At 41.0% G+C, this 19251-nt stretch overlaps 2 protein-coding genes and 1 non-coding gene across 35 annotated transcripts in view, besides 2 other annotated features; 2 read left to right on the forward strand and 1 right to left on the reverse strand.

Annotated features, from left to right (window-relative positions):
• Positions 1 to 1165, reverse strand: part of DZANK1 (double zinc ribbon and ankyrin repeat domains 1) — an 83664-nt gene extending 82499 nt beyond the window's left edge. For 16 of the 28 annotated variants that reach the window (NR_160274.1, NR_160273.1, XM_017027915.3 and 13 more), the window contains exon 1: positions 1131 to 1165. Coding sequence is in view for 6 of the 28 variants with exons in the window: in XM_017027916.3 (XP_016883405.1) it covers positions 270 to 286 (17 nt within the window). In the remaining 22 variants the exon portion in view is untranslated. Of the gene's footprint in view, positions 1 to 269 lie in introns of all 28 variants that reach the window. The other 12 variants (XM_011529272.3, NM_001367619.1, NM_001367618.1 and 9 more) reach the window with 3 other exon arrangements.
• Positions 1045 to 1663: an enhancer, noted in NCBI's record as "H3K27ac-H3K4me1 hESC enhancer chr20:18447554-18448172 (GRCh37/hg19 assembly coordinates)". NCBI's record gives its function as "activates a minimal SCP1, AML or CMV promoter by ChIP-STARR-seq in naive and primed H9 embryonic stem cells {active_cell/tissue: H9 hESC(naive and primed)}" and the evidence as "EXISTENCE:reporter gene assay evidence [ECO:0000049][PMID:30033119]".
• Positions 1286 to 1605: an enhancer, noted in NCBI's record as "active region_17585". NCBI's record gives its function as "activates an Ori minimal core promoter by ATAC-STARR-seq in GM12878 lymphoblastoid cells {active_cell/tissue: GM12878}" and the evidence as "EXISTENCE:reporter gene assay evidence [ECO:0000049][PMID:35858748]".
• Positions 1525 to 18781, forward strand: POLR3F (RNA polymerase III subunit F). 6 transcript variants are annotated; one of them, NR_104209.2, is made up of 10 exons: positions 1525 to 1703; positions 3079 to 3196; positions 5439 to 5500; positions 6977 to 7044; positions 7526 to 7593; positions 9210 to 9322; positions 14173 to 14316; positions 14537 to 14644; positions 15758 to 15945; positions 17616 to 18781. NR_104209.2 is itself a non-coding variant. In NM_001282526.2 (9 exons), the coding sequence occupies exons 2-9, from the start codon at positions 3140 to 3142 to the stop codon at positions 17691 to 17693; spliced, it is 828 nt and encodes a 275-aa protein (NP_001269455.1). In that variant the 5' UTR covers positions 1525 to 1806; positions 3079 to 3139; the 3' UTR covers positions 17694 to 18781. The 6 variants fall into 6 exon arrangements, 5 of the variants coding, with proteins under 5 accessions (NP_001269455.1, NP_006457.2, NP_001397750.1 ...); NM_001282526.2 differs by lacking the exon at positions 5439 to 5500 and having other exon boundaries at positions 1525 to 1806; positions 15754 to 15945; NM_006466.4 differs by lacking the exon at positions 5439 to 5500 and having other exon boundaries at positions 15754 to 15945.
• On the forward strand, positions 4750 to 4826 carry MIR3192 (microRNA 3192). Its single transcript, NR_036160.1, has one exon. It is a non-coding gene; the product is annotated as a microRNA 3192 (primary transcript).
• Positions 18782 to 19251: the final 470 nt, after the last annotated feature.

Consider the following 19251-nt stretch of genomic DNA (forward strand, 5'->3'; position numbering starts at 1 on the left):
TATCACCAGAGCAGTTCTAGTATTTGAAAGCTGCAAAGACACTTTAGAAGGACTGCAGAGTACTACTTCTCAGTGGAAAGGAAGTTTGCAAGAATATAAACAGTGACCAATAAACACAAGCCTCCCGTTTCATCTACTGTATTTATAAATCCTGGTATTAATAATTAACTACCAGTATGAAAGCCTTACTGGTCTTTTTGGAGGTGAGGGTGGGGAGGAAGGTTGTCATAATTAATGCACAGAAGGTTTCAGGGGGAAAAAACGCTCACCTTAACACAACAACCATTTACATCTCTGTATTGCCTTTTCAAATTTCATTAATAATCCATAGATTTTGCCCAATTATAATCTACATATTCATTCCATTTTTATAGTCTACTTCTTGCATTCTCACTGTATTATTTAGTTTTCCCTGTACTTATTTATCCATTTGTGGCTGGGCATTTAGGCTATTTCTAGTTTCTTTTTAGTTTTGCCTGTTGCAGTTCTAATAATGCTGATCTGAACATGTCTGCAGTTTGAGCTTTGTCACAGACTGTATTCTCAAAAATGGGGTACCTAAATTTAAGGGGTGAACTTAATGCCTTGTTGGATAGTTCCGGATCTAGGGCCAAGAATATAAACTACAGATACTGACAGCACAACAATAGCTCCTACGGGAGTGTGGCTGGACTTGAGACTTGCCCATAGTCGCATTTCCATTTAAGTGAAAGGCAGATAAAATAAAAGTAGTTGAAAAATTCTAAATAAAAAATATGTAGGAGAGGAAGTAATTCGCGAGCGTCAACTAGCAGCTGCCCTTAGGAAGCTGGGGTGGCCAGTGGGCCCCACGCAAAGGGAATCAAGAAAAAAGGCGGATCCGCCAGGCCCAAATGGCAACGTGCAGTCAACAGGATCCCCAGACCCCTCAACTCTCCCAACGTGGACCGCCCCCTCGCAGCCCGGATCCGGAATCCCGTTTGGTTGTTCCCGCCCATCAGGGGCTGCCAAGGACACCTGCATCCTTTCGGCTGGAGTAAGGGAAGCTCTTCCCCTCCTCTAGCCGCCCTCCTCTTCCTCTAACCGCGGGGCCCGGGATCGGGACCCCTAATGCATCTCTGCCGCGCCCAACCCAGTCGCCAGCCTCTCACCGCCTCTTGCCTCCTCCTTCGCCGCCGCCCGGGTTACCACAGACGCGGCGAGCCGCGCCCCGCCCACTGGGTGCTGGGCAGATGATTGGTGGAGACTCAGCTTCTTAGCAACTAGACCGGCCCCTGCCGCTCCGCAGGGAGCCTGGTACCCGCCTGGAGTTCCTTTCCCAGTGCTTTCCCATAGGCATCTAAGAATATTCCTTCACAGAGTTGCCAAGTGCTAAAAGTTGGTTTCCCAACTCAGAATGAAGGAACCAGGCTTGTGCGTCCGATGGGCATTGACATTCTGGAAAACAAGAATAAGAAGCTGTAGCGGCGCCTGTAAGTGGGCCGGAGCAGGCGCAGCTTGGCCACCTCCCGCCGAAAGGCAAGGAAGGACCGGCTGCGACACGAGGAAGAAGGCCCCTCGGCCTCAGCAGAGCGCTATCCTCCACTGGTTCCCCGGGTTCCCCGGCTTGCTACCGGGCTGCTCCGTGCATCTTTCCCCCCAGGCGTCAGGAACTGCGCCCTCATGGCGGAGGTGAAGGTGAAGGTGCAGCCGCCTGACGCGGATCCGGTCGAAATAGAAAACAGGTAAACCAGTGAGGCTCCGGCTTGGCACTCCATCAGGCGCCCAGTCATTTGGGCAGCTGGACCCCTTCTCCGGGATCCCTTGGGAGTGGCCGGAGCGGGTTAGGTGAGCACGCGGGAAAAACGATTGCGGGGTTCTGGACCCACTTGTTCCTTCCCATCCTGGGAGAGCAGAACTCAAGAAGTTCAAAATGGGTTTGACAGCTTGCAACTTTGTGTAGCTGGCTGGCTTTGCCCTGATACTTTTGGGGAAGTTGTGATGACGTGCTGCCTTCCTACTTTGACGCGATCAGTGCTTTGAGAGGAGCCCTCGGCTTTCTTTCCCTGTAGAACACTTGTGAATACATGTTCTGATCCAGGATCGCTCTTGTCACTAAGGGAACGTCTATGACAAAACGTTTAGGCGGAGTTAGGGCGCAGTTGGTGATTACGAAGTAACATTAAGCCAGGTGGTTTCAGTGCAGTATTGAACTCAAGACTTTTAGGACACCCAAAGCCTCTGCCACTTTTATTTTTATTTGTTTGTTTGTGAGACAGAGTCTCGCTCTGTCGCCAGGCTGGAGTGCAGTGGCGCGATCTCGGTTCACTGCAATCTCCGCCTCCCGGGTTCAAGCGATTCCCCTGCCTTAGCCTCCCGAGTAGCTGGGACTACAGGCTCGCGCCACCACGCCCAGCTAATTTTTTATGTTTTAGTAGAGACGGGGTTTCACCATGTTGTCTGGGATGGTCTCGATCTCCTGACCTCGTGATCCGCCCGCCTCGGCCTCCCAAAGTGCTGGGATTACAGGCGTGAGCCACCGCGCCCGGCCCAGTTTTATATTTTACCGAGGCACTGCCACTCTTAGATTTTCACGTAGTTTTAAAAGACTCAACTTTCTCAGACTGTTAGGAATAATACATTTGTTGATGTCGACTAGGTGAAGATTTTGACTTTTTTTGTTTGGTAGGTATAATTCCAAAAACAGGCCCCATTATGGTGAATTGTCATAACAAATTTTGGCTTCCTACCAGAAACATCTGCATTTGCCTCCTGCTTGCAGATTTATGGCTTAACTTTGTCATGCTTATTACACCCGAGAAAACTGAAGTCTCAGCTTTAATATTTTTTCTGTGATTTCATTAGACTTTTGCTCTAATTTAAAGTTCTTATTAGTGAGGAAAAGAAATATTCTTAAATAACAATAATACTGTAAACATGTATTTAGAAATCATCTTCTTCAATTTCTAACATGCTTTGATCCAAAACCATCACAGAAACCCAGATTGTCTGCCAAATGTGAAAAAGGCACAGTTTCAAACTATTCTACTTGTATTTTTACCCCCACTGTCTCTTGAAACAGGTAACCATGAAGGATAACATTAATACCTTTGTTTCTAGGATTATAGAATTATGTCACCAGTTCCCTCATGGAATCACAGACCAAGTAATTCAGAATGAAATGCCTCATATAGAAGCCCAGCAGCGGGCAGTAGCCATCAATAGGTTGTTGTCTATGGTAAGGTGAATCTAACTATTTTGCATAATTACTGATATGCTGATTATCACTGGTTTTTATTATGTAGTTGTGATGGTTAATTTCATGTCAACTTGACTAAGATACAGGATTCCTACATATCTAGTTAAATATTTTATTGGAGTGTCTGTGTGGGTGTTTCTGAAAGAGGTTAGCATTTTGAATTGGTGAACGGAGTAAAGTAGATATGGGTCCAGTTGGGTGAGCATCATCCAATCCATTCAGGGCCTAAATAGAACAAAGTGGCAGAGGAAGATTGAATTCACTCTTTGAATTCAATCTTGAGCTGGGCTATGAATCTTGTGCCCTCAGCACTCCTGGTTCTCAGACCTTCAGACTTGGACTGGTATCTACACCATCAGCTCTCTGCTCTCAGCCCTTTGATCTGCAACACCAGCTTTCCTGGGTCTCCAGCTTGCAGAGGGCAGATGATGGGACTCCTCAGCCTCCATAATCACAGAGCAAATAGCTTCTGATGAATCTTTCAAGAGGGAGGTGTATCCTATTGGTTCTTTTTCTCTGGAGAACCCTAATACAGCAGTCATAAAACGAGAAAGTGTGTTAGGTTTGACTGATAAGACTCTAAACCAGGAAACAGCTCAAACTACCTGAATTGAAAAAAGAAGAAATAATTATGCGTTATAAGACAAATGAAATAAATGTATTATGGTATAACTGTTGTATTTATTAATTGCCACTGCCATACATAGGTCTAGTCTGTTCTCACCTTCTGTTTGCTTCCTACTGCTGGTGTTGGGCCATTTCCCATAAAATATTCCACCCCCCGATTTTCCTATGAGTTGTCACAGAGCCCAGTCATCAGGGTTTCATTCTCCACATTGTCACTCTGAGCATTTCAGGAAGCAAGAATGAGTCCAGTTGAATGAAGAATGTTGGGCTTTGGGGAGGAAGTGCAGCCTTAGCCCCCAGTGACATTGCAATGGAATTTATCAGTGAAGCCATTCTCCATCTGTCCAGAAACAAACAAGCAAGACTGTCTAAAAACCCACCAAGTGGTGCCGATGCTCTAAATCTCCCTTACTTTCCCTCATCACCAAAACATCCTTTTCCTAAGAGCATTTCAGTTTGGCTTTAGTAGCAGTTAGGTTAAAGAGTTCTACGCCAAGGCCTCATCTGAATGACTGATTTGTTTTTTAAGTCTACTAGCCTTGTTGGATTTCCAAGGGCTCTGGATGTGGAGATTTGGGGTCCGATGAATCTTTTCTTAAACCTTTCCCATCAATTTTCTAGCTCAGGAGTTGGCAAACTTTTTCTATAAAGTGCCAGACAGTATATGTTTTAGGCTTTGTGAGCCATATGATTTCTGTCACAACTACACTGTCATTTTAGCAAGAAGCAGCCATGGATGATGATACATAAACAAATGGCTACAGCCATGTTCCAACAAAACTTTGGTTATAAAAACAAGCTGTGGAGCAGATTGCTCACCCCTGTTCTAGCCCAAGGACAAAGGAATGTTGCTGATTTCTAGTTATTTCACTGTGGTGAAGGTCTTCAGCTCTAGGAAAGACAGAGGAAGGGATTCTGGGAGGTTGTAGCAGTGGAAAAAGTTCTTTTCTTCCTCTGATCGCCCTCTCAGCTCTTTCCTTCTGACTGAAAATCATCTTCAGCACCTCTCTTTTACCACCTCTGCCACCACCCACCCACTGCGAGTCCTATTGGCTATAGGTTGTATGCAGGCAGTAGTAGAGCTATCAAAGGATATTAAGAAAGGGAGTGATTATTAATAAATCATGTAATGTTTCTGATTTTAGCTCTTAAAAACAGTTCTTAAATTTGCTGTCCACACCCCCTCCATTTCTATCCCTGGTACTGCATCATGTTCAGGCTCATGGCTTTTACCTGGACAGCTGCAGTAGCATCTTAACTGGTTTCCATGACTCCATCTGTCTCAGAGAAGCCAGCCTGATTTGGGATTACAGTCATGAGCCACCGAGCCTGGCCCCTGATCTGTCTTAAATGCAGGTCTGACCAAGGCACTCTACCACCTACAATTTGTTTATACTGGAGATTCAAGTTCAAACTCCTGGGTTTCCCACACTGAGTCCCTGCATTGTTCACCAGCCTCATCTCCACCACTCTACTTCAAAAGTTAGGTTTCAGGAGGAGCAGATTGTTTTTGGTTTCTGGCCACATCATGCTGTTTCGTGCCACAGGACTCATGTTGTTCCCCTGCTTAGAAGGTTCTTCTTATTCTTTACAGATGACTAACGCATTAGGACTCAACTCTGCCATTGTCTCCAGGAAGTCACTGAACCCCCCCAGGTTGGGCCGCAGCCTGTTCTCCGAGTACCCAATCTGGGAGTTCAGGGTGGCTTTACTTACCTCTATCTTAATGCCAACCAGATGGGTATTGAAGTCACCTGTGTGTTTCCCTTTTAGAATTAATGTTGTTCCCCCAAACACCTATCATAACACCTGGCACAGTACAAGTATTCAGTAAATATTCATAAGCTGGATAAATGACCAGAGCCTCTGGATTGGGCCTTGTAGTCCTACTTTGCCACTTCGTGGGGTCAGGGAACAGGAGTGTGTCACTGTTCATTCAGTATGTAAATCCATTTCCAAGTCATGAGTGTCTGTTTTAAAACAAGGGAATGGGCTGGGCACAGTGGCTCCTGCCAGTAATCCCAGCACTTTGGGAGGCCGAGGTAGGCGGATCACTAGAGGCCAGGAGTTCAAGATCAGCCTGGCCAACATGGCCTAACCCTATCTCTACTAAAATACAAATATCAGCGTGGCATGGTGGCATACACCTGTAATGCTAGCTACTTGGGAGGCTGAGGCACGAGAATCGCATGAACCCGGGAGGCAGAGGTTGCAGTGAGCCGAGATTGTGCCACGGCACACCAGCCTGGGTGACAGAGTGAGACTCTGTCTCTAAATAAATACATAAATAAACAAGGGAATAGCGTCCCTCTCAACTGTGGCTTTCTAGTACTTCCAGAGCCTAGTGGTATAATTATCTGGGTTCTCTTAAGTTCGGACCCAAGGAAATTCAGGAGCATGACAGACATACTTTATTTTACTTTTGATTTGCTATATAAAAACAATACTACTCTAGTCCTTTTATTCATTGGCTGACTTCAGTAAATGTCACTGTTAACTTTTTTTGTTTTTTGTTTTGTTTGTTTTTTGCTTTTCAAGATGGAGTCTTGCTCTGTTGCCCAGGCTGGAGTGCAGTGGTGCGATCTCAGCTCAGCCTTCCATGTAGCCGGGACTACAGGCGCATGCCACTGCACCTGGCTAATTTTTGTATTTTTAGTAGAGACAGGTTTTCGCCATGTTAGCCAGGCTGGTCTCAAACTCTTGACCTCAAATGGACCACCTGCCTTGACCTCCCAAAGTGCTGAGATTACAGGTGTGAGCCACCACGCCCAGCCATTAACTTTATAAATTTTATTTTTCACTGTGCAACAGAATATGCCTATTTAGTCTTTATTTCAACTTTTTATTTATATAAATTATATTTTTATTTTATATATGTAATTTGGATTTATATTGATTTTTAATATAGATTGTTATTCTCAAGCTGCTTTTTAAAAATTCTTTATGCATTGATCATATAACCAAGCCAAGATCTAGCCTACAGGAAATTGTTAGTGATATTTTGAAAAATTTTGAGATTAAAGAGCAGGTTTTGAAAAATTAAGAATGTTAAAGAATGCATCAACATTTGTCATTTGATTTAACATATCTCCAAAATAACTGACTCCTGTTTTCTACTGTCTTAAAAACTAGGGTCAGTTGGATCTCTTAAGGAGCAATACGGGCCTTTTATATAGAATAAAGGACTCTCAGAATGCTGGGTAAGTACTTGTTTTTTTAATTTTAAGAAAATGTTTATTATTTGCAAACGTATGTGTTGGGAATAAAGCTAATACAAAATTACATAAACCTGTCCTGTGTATCATCCCTGCCTCCTATGATATATTCCATTTCCCAGAGGTAACTGCTCTTAATAATTTAGTGTATATCCTTTCTTCTAGCTATATATAAATACACATAGATGATTATATATTTATATATAATCTTTCTCTTTTTTTTTTAACAAAAATGGAATCATGCTATCCATTCTGTTTTGCAATTTGTTTTTTTCACTTACTGTATCTTGGACATCTTTTCATGTTGGTACACACAGCTCTGTCTCATTCTATTTAAGGTAAGCCTTTCTTTTGGTAAATATGTCACTGTGGTGACCTTGTCTGCTAATTTTGTTTAAGTAGTGATGTAGATTATTAGATTATCCTATAGTCCTTACCTTACTAATTTTACTTTATTCCACTACAGTAAAATGAAGGGATCCGATAACCAAGAAAAACTAGTATATCAAATCATAGAGGATGCAGGAAATAAAGGTAAGCATGTGAAAGATGAAGCAGAAAAAAACATTGTCTTTGGAACTAGATATAGGGACCCAGATCTCAGCTTCCCAGGGTAGAACTCAGTGGACAGAGTATACTGAGGAAGGTAATAGAACATACAAATATAACATGCATGTGCTTGAAGGACACCCAAGAGTAAGGCCGTTGTTGCCTTGAAAGAGACAAGAACTAAAGGGCTGTGTCCAGGGATGGAAAAAGACGTCTGAATTCTGAGTCACATGAATGTATTATCTATTCAAAATAAATAAAATTTAAGTTTTTTTTTTAAATCTGTACCTTCTAGCTATATGACCATGGACAAGTTACTTAAACTTTGTGAGCTTCAGTTTCTTTATCTTATCTATAAATTGTGGATGCTGACACCTCTCGTTTTTGCAAGGACCAAAAGGAAAGCTGGTGTGGTGTAGCAGTGTCTTAACAGATGTCCCTCCGCAGCTATAGTTTCTCTTCTACCCGCTTGAAGAACTGTATCTAAATTGCAATCCTAAGTTACAATAATTTGGGATCTATTTGAGTCATTGATATTAGCTGGAAAAATTGAGATGTAATCTGAAATTACATAACTAATTCTTATATTTATTAAAATTAACATTTTTAAAAATAGTCCTATGAGAAAGCCATTCTGCATATTTTTTTAATCTTCCTATCTCATATGCCATTACATTGGGAAGAAAATAAAGCAAAATATTTACATACATTCCCTTTCCATATATAACACTTATTTCCTTCTTTGAAAAAGAAATCATTGCTTCTCACACAGGGCTTTTAGCAGCCATAAGAACCCTAGGCTTCCTTTTCCATCTCACAAATACAATGTTGTATAAATAATGGATTACATGCATGCAGACACTCATCTAAAGAGTGTTTTTGTCCCACTTGAGGATGGCAGTTGACCTTGACCCAAATTTAAGTTTGTATTTCACATTTACAATCTAAAATGAAAGTATCAGAAAACAGAGATAAGGGTACAGATGATAAAATTCCATTGCATCCATGATTTTTCCTTCCATTATAAAAACGTCGTTTTCATAATTTTTTTTTTCTTTTTTTTGAGATGGAGTCTTGCTCTGTTGCCCAGGCTGGAGTGCAATGGTGTGATCTCGGCTCAGTGCAACCTCCGCCTCCCGGGTTCAAACGAGTCTCATGCCTCAGCCTCCCGAGTAGCTAGGACTACAGGTGCATGCCATCAGGCCCGGCTAATTATTTTTGTATTTTTAGTAGGGACAGAGTTTCACCATGTTGGCCAGGCTGGTCTCAAACTCCTGAGCTCAGGTGACCCACCTGCCTCGGCCTCCCTAAGTGCTGGGATTACAGGCATGAGCCACCATGCCCAGCCCTTTCCATAAGTTTTTTAAAAGTTTGCCACACTGGGATTCCAAGAAATTTCTAGTTAGAAATTATAAATCATTATAATAAGTCTTACAAAGCATTATACTTATTTATTGTTTAGCATACTTTTGCTACTTTAGCCAGCATTCTTTACTGTTAGCTTTATACTGCTAGCTTTGGAATGAGACACAAGTTAGAGGAATAACATTAAAAATCCATGAAAACCAGAGTTCAACTTATTTTACTTTACTTTCTTATAGGAATATGGAGCAGAGATATCCGCTATAAAAGTAATTTGCCATTAACAGAAATCAACAAAATTCTGAAGAATCTGGAAAGTAAAAAGCTTATCAAAGCTGTTAAGTCTGTAGCAGTGAGTAGTCCTTTCCTCAGATACCCACTTACATATGTTGCTTCAAGTTTTTATTCTTGAAGTTATGTCATGATTTAGAACAGCTGGTCAAAAAAGACTTAAAAATTTAGCTCATGTTGGATTGGTTTGGAGATGCTGCTTAGACTTGTCCCTACACAGTTAGCTCTTGGTGTCTCACTCACCCACTCAAAAATCTAAAACTACTTTACTGTCTTCAGTGAAGAATCTTTGGAACTGTGAACATTTTTCCTAGATTTTGTGGTGTGTAAGATAATTTACTTTATCCCGACATATTAGCTTTCTCATTCAACAAAGAGTGTTTGCTGTGTGCCAGACACTGTTTTGAGTGCTTGGGATACATTAATGAACAAGTCGTAGAAAGATCCCTGCCTTGGTGGAGCTTCTCTTCTAGTACACGTGTGTTTTTCCTGCTCCTCATCCTGCCCCACCCCTGCTCCAGAGCTGGCTCCCTCGGGGACATCTGCCCCTGACCTCACTGATTTAGACATCAGAGGAACTGAGATTCCCCTAGAATAAAGTTTGCTTCAATACACATTTCATAAGAATTACAGCTATAATTCAAATTTTATAATTTCAGAGCTGTTAGGTCTGTGGCAGTGAGTAGACCTTTCCTCAAATATCCGCTTACATATGTTGCTTCAAGTTTTTATTTTTGAATAAAACAAGAATTATAAGAATTATAACATCACTTATAAGAATTTGATGCTTATTAGTGATTTTATTTATCAGAATAGCATTTCCCTTCCACATTGTTTAATGGATAATTTCAAATATATACAAAGGTAGAAAAAATCATATAATAAAACCCTATCATGTAGCCTCATTTTGTCAGTCCTCCTTCTACATCTTTATGTTTAATAACAGCTCTGCTGAAATATAATTCATCATTCATACTACAGAATTCATTCAACCTTTTAAAGTGTAAAATCTTTGGATTTACAGTCACTGGTTTTTACTATAAGCTAAGAGTTGTGCAACCATCACCGCTGTTCTAATTTTAGAACATTTTCATCACCCCCAAATGTGGCCACTAGTATTTGTTTCCCAGCCTCTCTTTCCATAGGCCCTAAAAACGAATAATTTATTTTCTGCCTTTATTATAGATTTGCCTATTCTGGACAGTTCCTATAAATGGAATAATAGAATATGTAGTCTTTTATGTATGACTACTTTGACTTAGCATGATGTTTTCAAGATTTATCCATATTGTGCTTTATTCCTTCTTATTGCCAATTAAAATTCCATTGTATAGATGTATATCACCTTTTGTTCATTCATCCGTTGGTGAACTTCTGTGTCCTTTTAAGGGTTAAAATAATCTTAGATCTCAGTGTAAAGTGCAAAACTATAAAACTTTTTGAAGAAAACATAGAAAATCTACATGACCTTGGCTTTGTTAATGAATTCTTGGACTATAACTCCAATAGTAGTCTATGAAAGAAAATGTTAATAAGTTGGAGTTTATCAAAATTTTTTGAAAACCTCTGCTTTGCAAGACACATTAAGAGAATGAAAAGACAAGTTACATACTAAAAGATATTTGCAAATCACATATTTGATAAAGGACTTGTCTCCAAAATATACAAAGAACTCCTAAAATTCAGCAATAAGAAAACAACACTTTGGGAGGCCAAGGCGGGTGGATCACCTGAGGTCAGGAGTTCAAGTCTAGCCTCACCAACATGGTGAAACCCTGTCTCTACTAAAAATACAAAATTATCCAGGCGTGGTGGCACATGTCTGTAATCCCAGCTACTTGGGAGGCTGAGGCAGGAGAATTGCTTGAACCCAGGAGGCAGAGGTTGCAGTGAGCAAGATTGCACCATTGTACTCCAGCCTGGGCAACAAAAGCGAAACTCCATCTCAAAAAAAGAAAAAAAAAAAAAAACACACAATGAAAACAAATAATCCAACTAAAAATGAGCAAAAGATCTGAACCTCACCAAAGAAGACATACAGATGGCAGATAAGCATATGAAAAGATGCTCTACATTATTTTTCATTAGAGAACTGCAAATTAAAATAAAATTTAGTATAGTGAGATACCACTACACACCTATTAGAATAGCTAAAATCTAAAAATTGGTAATACCATATGCTGACAAGATACAGACCAAGATGAACACTCATACATTGCTAAGAATGCAAAATTTTCAGTCCTTTTGTTAAAAAACTGGGCAGTTTTTACAAAACTAAACAGAGTCTTACCACATTGTCCAAAGGTCAAGCTCTTAAGTATTTACCCAACTGATTTGAAAACTCATGTCCACATAACTACATGAATATTTATAGCAGCTTTATTCGTAATCAGCAGCTTTATTCATAATCAAAAACTGGAAGCAACCAAGGTATCCTTCAATAGGTGAATGGATAGACAAACCAGAATAGTATTCAGTTATAAAAAGAAATAAGCTATCATGAAAAGATATGAGTAAATCTTAAATGCATATTGCTAAGTAAAAGAAGCCAGTCCGAAAAGGCTACATACTGTATGATTACAACTATATGACATACTGGAAAAGGCAAAACTAGACAGACTAAAAAGATCGGGGTGAGGGCAGGGATGGTAGGGAAAGTTGAATAGGTGAAGCATGAGAAATATTTCTAGGGTGGTGAAATTATTTTGTATGACAGAAGCATTAACCAAATTTGGAAGCCCACCCAAGCTTTGCTGTCCAAAGTTTTTATTAGGGTTTCATTATACAGGCATGATTGATTGAATCCTTGGTCATGTGAGTGAATTCAATCTCCAGCTCCTCTCTTCTCCCAAGAGATTGGACTGATGTCATGTGGCCCAAAGCCCCAACCCTCTAATCATGCGGTTGGTCTTTCCAGCATGGACAACTCCTATCCTGAAACTATTTAGAGTCCTATCAGGAGTCACCTTGTTAGCATAAACCCAGGTGTGATCTAAGGGATTCACCATGAATAACAAGGCCTATTGGGAAATTCCAAAGATGTAGAAGTTATTTCCTAGGAAAAAGGGACAAAGTCTAGCCAAATTTTTTTCTTTTTTTTTTTTTTTGAGACATGGTCTGGCTCTGTCACCCAGACTGGAGTGCAGTGGCACAATCACAGCTCACTGCAGCATCAACCTCCTGGGCTCAAGCCATCCTCCCACCACAGCCTTCCAAGTAGCTGGGACTATAGGCACGTGCCACCATGCTCAGCTAATTTTTGTATTTTTGTAGAGACAGGGTTTTACTATGTTACCCAGGCCTGTCTTGAACTCCTAGACTTAAAGATCTGCCCACCTCAGCCTCCCAAAGTGCTGGGATTACAGGCATAAGCCACCATGCCTGGCCCAAATTCTTCATGTTTACAACCCAGTGAAATTTGGGTTCCTCAGTGTTGGGGTGAGTAGTTACAGACAAACAAGGAAAGTTAGAATGATCCATGTAGTAATGGATTAGACTTGAAAACATCAGTATGGACTCTTGTGTAATTTAATATAAATAATATAGATGGTTATATTTAGAAATATTGAGTATAGCTATGTATATATACAAGGGTTAATATGCGCACATAAATCTCGTGCTGCCAACTGAGAAGGCCTAGAAGTGATGACATCCCGATGGCAATGAACACATCTAGTGCCCAAGTCGTGGTTTCTATCATGCAATAAAATGAACATGTAGAAAATGCTCCTGACGGCTGGGCAGGGTGGTTCATGCCTGTAATCCCAGCACTTTGGGAGGCCAAGGAGGGTGGATCACCTGAGGTCAGGAATTAGAGACCAGCTTGGCCAACATGGTGAAACCCCATCTCTACTGAAAATACAAAAAAATTAGCTGGGCATAGTGACGGGCGCCTGTAATCCCAGCTACTCGGGAGGCTGAGACAGGAGAATCGCTTGAACCTGGGAGGTGGAGGTTGCAGTAAGCTGAGATCGTGTGCCATTGCACTCCAGCCTGGCAACAAGAGCGAAACTCCGTTTCAAAAAAAAAAAGAAAAGAAAATGCTCTTGACATCTTGTAGTGCTAGAAAGTAAGAAAGTGCTACAATAGCTGGACACGGGGGCTCATGCCTGTAATCCCAGCACTTTGGGAGGCTGAGGCGGGAGGATCACGAGGTCAAGAGATCGAGACCATCCTGGCCAACATGGTGACACCCCCGTCTCTGCTAAAAATACAAAAATTAGCTGGGCATGGTGGCACATGCCTGTAGCCCCAGCTACTCGGGAGGCTGAGGCAGGAGAATCACTTGAACCCAAGAGGCAGAGGTTGCAGTGAACCAAGATTGCACCAGTGCACGCCAGCCTGGGCGACAGTGCAAGACCCTGTCTCCAAAAGAAAAAAAAAAGTGCTAAAATACACACACACACGATGGGAGCATAGCAAAGGGATACAGGAACCAAGTGAAAAGCTTCCAATGCCCAAAGCATTCCAAAGCTTCCAGTGTGGGAATAACAATGAAGTATCTGAATGTAAATCAAAGTATAAAATAAATACTCATGAGTCCATAGTGATAGAAATACGGTGTTTGAGAAACTGTCACAACTAAAAGAAGCCTGAGAGAGATGACTAAATGTAGTATGATGTCCTGGATGGAATCCTGGAGCAGAAAAGGAACATTAGGACTAATGAAATCTGAATAAAGTATGGCATTTAGTTAGTAATGATTTATCAATATTAGTTCATTAATTGTGACAAGTGTACCACACTAATCCAAGATGTTAAAAATAGGGGAAACAGCATGATGTATATAGGAGCTCTGTGTACTATCTTTGCAATAATTTTGTACATCTTAAACTGTTCCAAAATATAGGTGTTTTTGTTTTTGGAAATTGTTATCTTATAAACACATGAACTGTGCATGTTCTTTCCTAGGCCTCAAAAAAGAAGGTGTATATGCTCTATAACCTGCAGCCAGACCGGTCTGTGACTGGTGGAGCCTGGTACAGTGACCAGGATTTTGAATCTGAATTTGTAGAGGTGCTTAACCAACAGTGTTTTAAATTCCTACAGTCCAAGGTGAGGTATGATTGAGGAAACATCACTGCAAACCCTCTTGTAAAAAGTTTTTCACAAAGGATTTTAATCTATTTATCATATTTTATAGGAATTAAAAACCTGAAATTGGGAATTTTTACTTAACTAAATATGTTCTGTTGTTGGTTTGACTCAGTATAAAGTGTATTCAGAAAACACACCAATATTCTTATTTACATTTCTTATGTTTCAATCCTTATAGGCAGAAACAGCACGAGAAAGCAAACAGAACCCAATGATACAAAGAAATAGTTCATTTGCCTCATCACATGAAGTGTGGAAATATATCTGCGAATTGGGAATCAGTAAGGTCAGAACTGAATTTCATCTTATTTTTTAAAACTTATTCTTTGTCACATACAATGTATTCCAAACATGTATTTGACCCACATTGTTTTTTTTTTTTGAGATGATAGCTACGAACATTCTGCAGAATCCACTTTGGGAAAATACTGTCCTGTATCTTAGGCAAAGGCAGTCACTGCCATTGGGCATTGTCTGAACTGATACTCAGCTTGGGACACTGATGCTTTTTTTATTTTTTTGGAGGTAGGGTCTCATTTTGTTGCCCAGGCTGGTTTTGAACTTCTGGACTCAAGTGATCCTCCTGCGTTGGCCTCCCAAAGTGCCACTGTACCCTAGCCTTTTGAAATTCTTTTTTTAAGGACACTGATGCTTTTCACAGTGAAGAAATCAAAGTGGCCATTTTGGACATGTCACTTTAATTTCCTGGGCCTCAGATTTCTCATAAAAACTAGGAACTTGGACTATTTGATGTCTAAAGTGCCTTTCTGCTCAAGCATTTTATAAATCTCCAATAAATTCCTGCTAAAGAAATGTTATTTTTTATAAGATTTCTCGATTTTACTTAGGAAGTAAAGATACCAGAAAGTGTCAAACTCAGCATGAGCTTAGAGTTCTGTCCCTGGCACCTCAGTGGTTTGTGCTAACTTGGCCTATTGTTCCTCCTCTTTGTGCTTTAAATTACTCCACCCCAGCATAATGTTTCTCCCATTTCACAGCAGAATTATGACCCTTTACTGTTTTATTTATTTATTTGAGATGGAGTTTGGCTCTTGTTGCCCAGGCTGGAGTACAGTAGTGCGATCTCAGCTCACTGCAACTTCCGTCTCCCGGGTTCAAGCCATTCTCCTGCCTCAGCCTCCCGAGTAGGTGGGATTACAAGTGCCTGCCACCATACCCAGCTAATTGTATTTTTAGTAGAGACAGGGTTTTGCCATGTTGGCCAGGCTGGTCTCGAACTCCTGACCTCAAGTGATCCACCTGCCTCGGCTTCCCAAAGTGCTGGGATTACAGGCGTGAGCCACTGCGCCCAGCAACCCTTTACTGTTTTTAACACCCTCCAAGTGGATGTCTCCCTATCCTACTTGTGTCCTTTCTGATGTATCCCTTTTTTAGGTAGAGTTATCCATGGAAGACATTGAAACCATCCTGAATACACTCATTTATGATGGAAAAGTGGAGATGACGATTATTGCTGCAAAAGAAGGCACAGTTGGCAGTGTAGATGGACACATGAAACTGTACAGGGCAGTCAATCCAATCATCCCTCCCACAGGTTTGGTCCGGGCACCCTGTGGACTCTGCCCGGTGAGTTAAAGTGGCTTCACTTTACACTTGACTGCCCACGGGTGCAAGTGCCACATTAAGAAACAGAGCAAGCACAGCCCAGTTTTCTCAGACTCTTAGGGTTGACCAAGAGCTATTCAAACCTCCATGAAACCTTGATGAACAGACCTTTAATGAACACATCATTCCTTTACTTTTTTTTTTTTTTTTTTTTTTGAGACGGAGTCTCACTCTATCACCGAGGCTGGAGTGCAGTGGCACAATCTTGACTCATTGCAACCTCCAACTCCCGGGTTCAAGCAGCTCTCCTGCCTCAGCCACCTGAGTACCTGAGATTATAGGCACCCACCACCATGCCCAGCTAATTTTTTTTATTTTTAGTGGAGACGGGGTTTCACCATGTTGGCCAGGCTGGTCTCGAACTCCTGACCTCAGGTGATCCCCTCAGCCTCCCAAAGTGCTGAGATTACAGGCATGTGCCCCTGTACCTGGCCCCCTGCTTTACATTCTTTCTTGGAACAACCACATTAAGGATATTTACGTTTTCTGCTCTTGGCCTTGAAATGGACACTTTTTGATGAGGGCTAATCATTTCACCTAAATAGGGCAGAAAATGAGATTTGTTGAGAACCTACCTTGGGCCAGATATGTCCTTGATGATTTCCATAGGCGGTCTCATTTAATCCTCCTTACATTCTTGAAGCTAGTGGTGTTATTTCCCCTTAAAAGTGAGGGAGCTTAGGCTTAGGAAGACATAGGGGCATACAGCTTAGAAGTAACCGGGATTCAAACCCAGAGATCATGTCTTTCCCCTGCAGCATGCCCCAGCACTCCTCCTTCATTCATTCCCAAATATTGTAAGTGCCAACTCTATGCTCTAGGCACTAAGGATACAAGAGAAAGCAAGAGACACTGTCCCAGTCCTCATGGCATTTATAGATGAGCCTGTGTGTGTTTTATTTCATTATACCAACCTTTGTCTATATGCCTAAGCTCTCTATGCCTTGGTTTCAGTCCCTAGACAAAAGGCTAACATATTAGGAATTCTGTTTTGCACCCTTCACAAAAAGGTAGCTAAACATGAAACATTTGGTTAATCAAAATTAAGTCATTCATATGTATAGGTCTCCCTGCCCATATTCCTGTGTTACCTGGTGATAGCCTTTTGCCCAGCAGACAGGTGAGCATGGTCATCTTAATGCCACAGTAAAAAAAGCCTCTCTACTACTCCTAACTTGATGATCACAAAGCAGGCCCTATTATAGTATGTTCTTCCCGCTCCCCCCTCGCCCCCCGAGATGGAGTCTTGCTGTCGCCCAGGCTGGAGTGCAGTGGCACGATCTTGGCTCACTACAACCTCTGCCTCCCAGGTTCAAGCAATTCTCCTGCCTCAGCCTCCCGAGTAGCTGGGATTACAGGTGCCTGCCACCACGCTCAGCTAATTTTTGTATTCTTAGTAGAGACGGGGTTTCACCATGTTAGCCAGGATGGTCTTGACCACCCACCTCGGCCTCCCAAAGTGCTGGGATTACAGGTGTGAGCCACTGCGTCCGGCTATAATATGTTCTTAAGTACAGTCCTAGTCCCTTTCAGTTTGAAAGTTTTGTTTTTAATCTTGCTTTAAATAAGTGGTTGGGTCTTAGATATTTTAAAACTTTAATTTGAATATAATTTTTTTTTCTTTTTTAAAGGTTTTTGATGACTGCCACGAAGGTGGTGAGATTTCACCATCTAACTGTATTTACATGACAGAGTGGCTCGAATTTTAATAGAGAGCTATGAACTTTATTGACATTTTGCAAATGAAGTTACTTAGGGAGCAGATAATTTAATTCATGATGGAACACGAAATCTCCTTGAAAGCAAACTTCACAATAATGGACGTAGACTTGCTGCTATGAAAACATATTTTTTTTATTTATGAAGACTAAATTTATATTGGTAAAATAGCCAGTAGAATATGAAAGAAATAAGGTTAGTAGTGAAATTCATTCTTCAATAAATAAAACACTTTGAAACTCCGGAGGACCACATCTTTCAAGACTTCTGATGGGTCAAGGAAAAAGATGCCAACATACCCGTATTTACCAAGTACTATGATAATGGCTAGAGTATAAAAATGTTCTTTTTAAAGTTATTTATTAAGTTCTTCATTGGAAGTTTTTTTTTATATCTGGTTCACTACCACCATTTTCTGTTTCCTACTTTCTCAGTGGTTTCATTGAAAAGAAATTAGAAGGGGTTAAAGGCAGGAATAGCAAAGAGTGCAAACTTGGGGTATGACTGGGGGAGAGTGGAACATGCCTTTTCCGCACAATATTAATTCCTTTTTGTATCAGAAATGTTCTTTTAGGAGATTATGCTACCATACTTACTTCAAACCCAATGACTACTGTCAAGGACATATTTTCAGTACATAAATACTATCATTTTCATTCTAAAGAATATTTTCACTGTTCCTTCTTTCTTAAAGTCTTATGTTTCACTCTTTAACTCAAATGTATTCTTTGTTAGAATTTACCCTAGATTCTTATTTAATGTCTGCAGTAGACTGAATGTTTGTGTGCCCCCAGAATTCTAATGTTGAAATCTCATTTCCAATGTGATGGTATTTGGAGGTGGGGCTTTTGGTAAGTGATAGGTCAGGAGAGTAACAGCGCTCATGAATGGGATTAGTGCCCTTATATAAAGAGACCCAGAGAGCTCCATCACCCCTTCTGCCATGTGAAAGGGAGAAGACAAACATCCACGAACCAGGAAGTGGGTCCTCACCAGAAAACAAATCTGTAAGCACCTTGATCTTGGACTTCTCAGCCTCCAGAATTGTGAGAAATAAATTTCTGTTGTTGATAAACCACCAGTCTATGGTATTCTGTTATAGCATTAACTGAAACTAAATATACTCCGTGCCCTCCATTCACACTTTATTTTGAGAGAGGGGATAACATTCTTTTTCTCTTACTCTGTTTTAGATTTATTTCCCTTCCTTATTCTGTTCTAAATCATGGTGTGATGTGTCTAAGCAGAAAGCCATTATAATTGTCCTCAGTTCTAATAACACTTTCAGTTCCTATGGTCAGCCACATAGAAAACACTAGGTTATTTGATGTATTGTTGCACAGAAGTTGACTGTGCGGCTTTTTAGAATTGCAGCTTCATATTTTCACTTTGTAGCTCCACTTAGAAGTTTCTGTATCCAAGCCAAAAACATGGGACCCATGGAAAGGAATTCAAGCTCCACTAGTACTGAGGGTTGGGTTCTAATACCAGTTTGGAGATGCTCTAAGTGGATATCAGAAGAGTTATTTTAAGATAAATGGTATCAGT

This window comes from Homo sapiens, chromosome 20, assembly GCF_000001405.40.
Source record: "Homo sapiens chromosome 20, GRCh38.p14 Primary Assembly".
Lineage (NCBI taxonomy): Eukaryota > Metazoa > Chordata > Mammalia > Primates > Hominidae > Homo > Homo sapiens.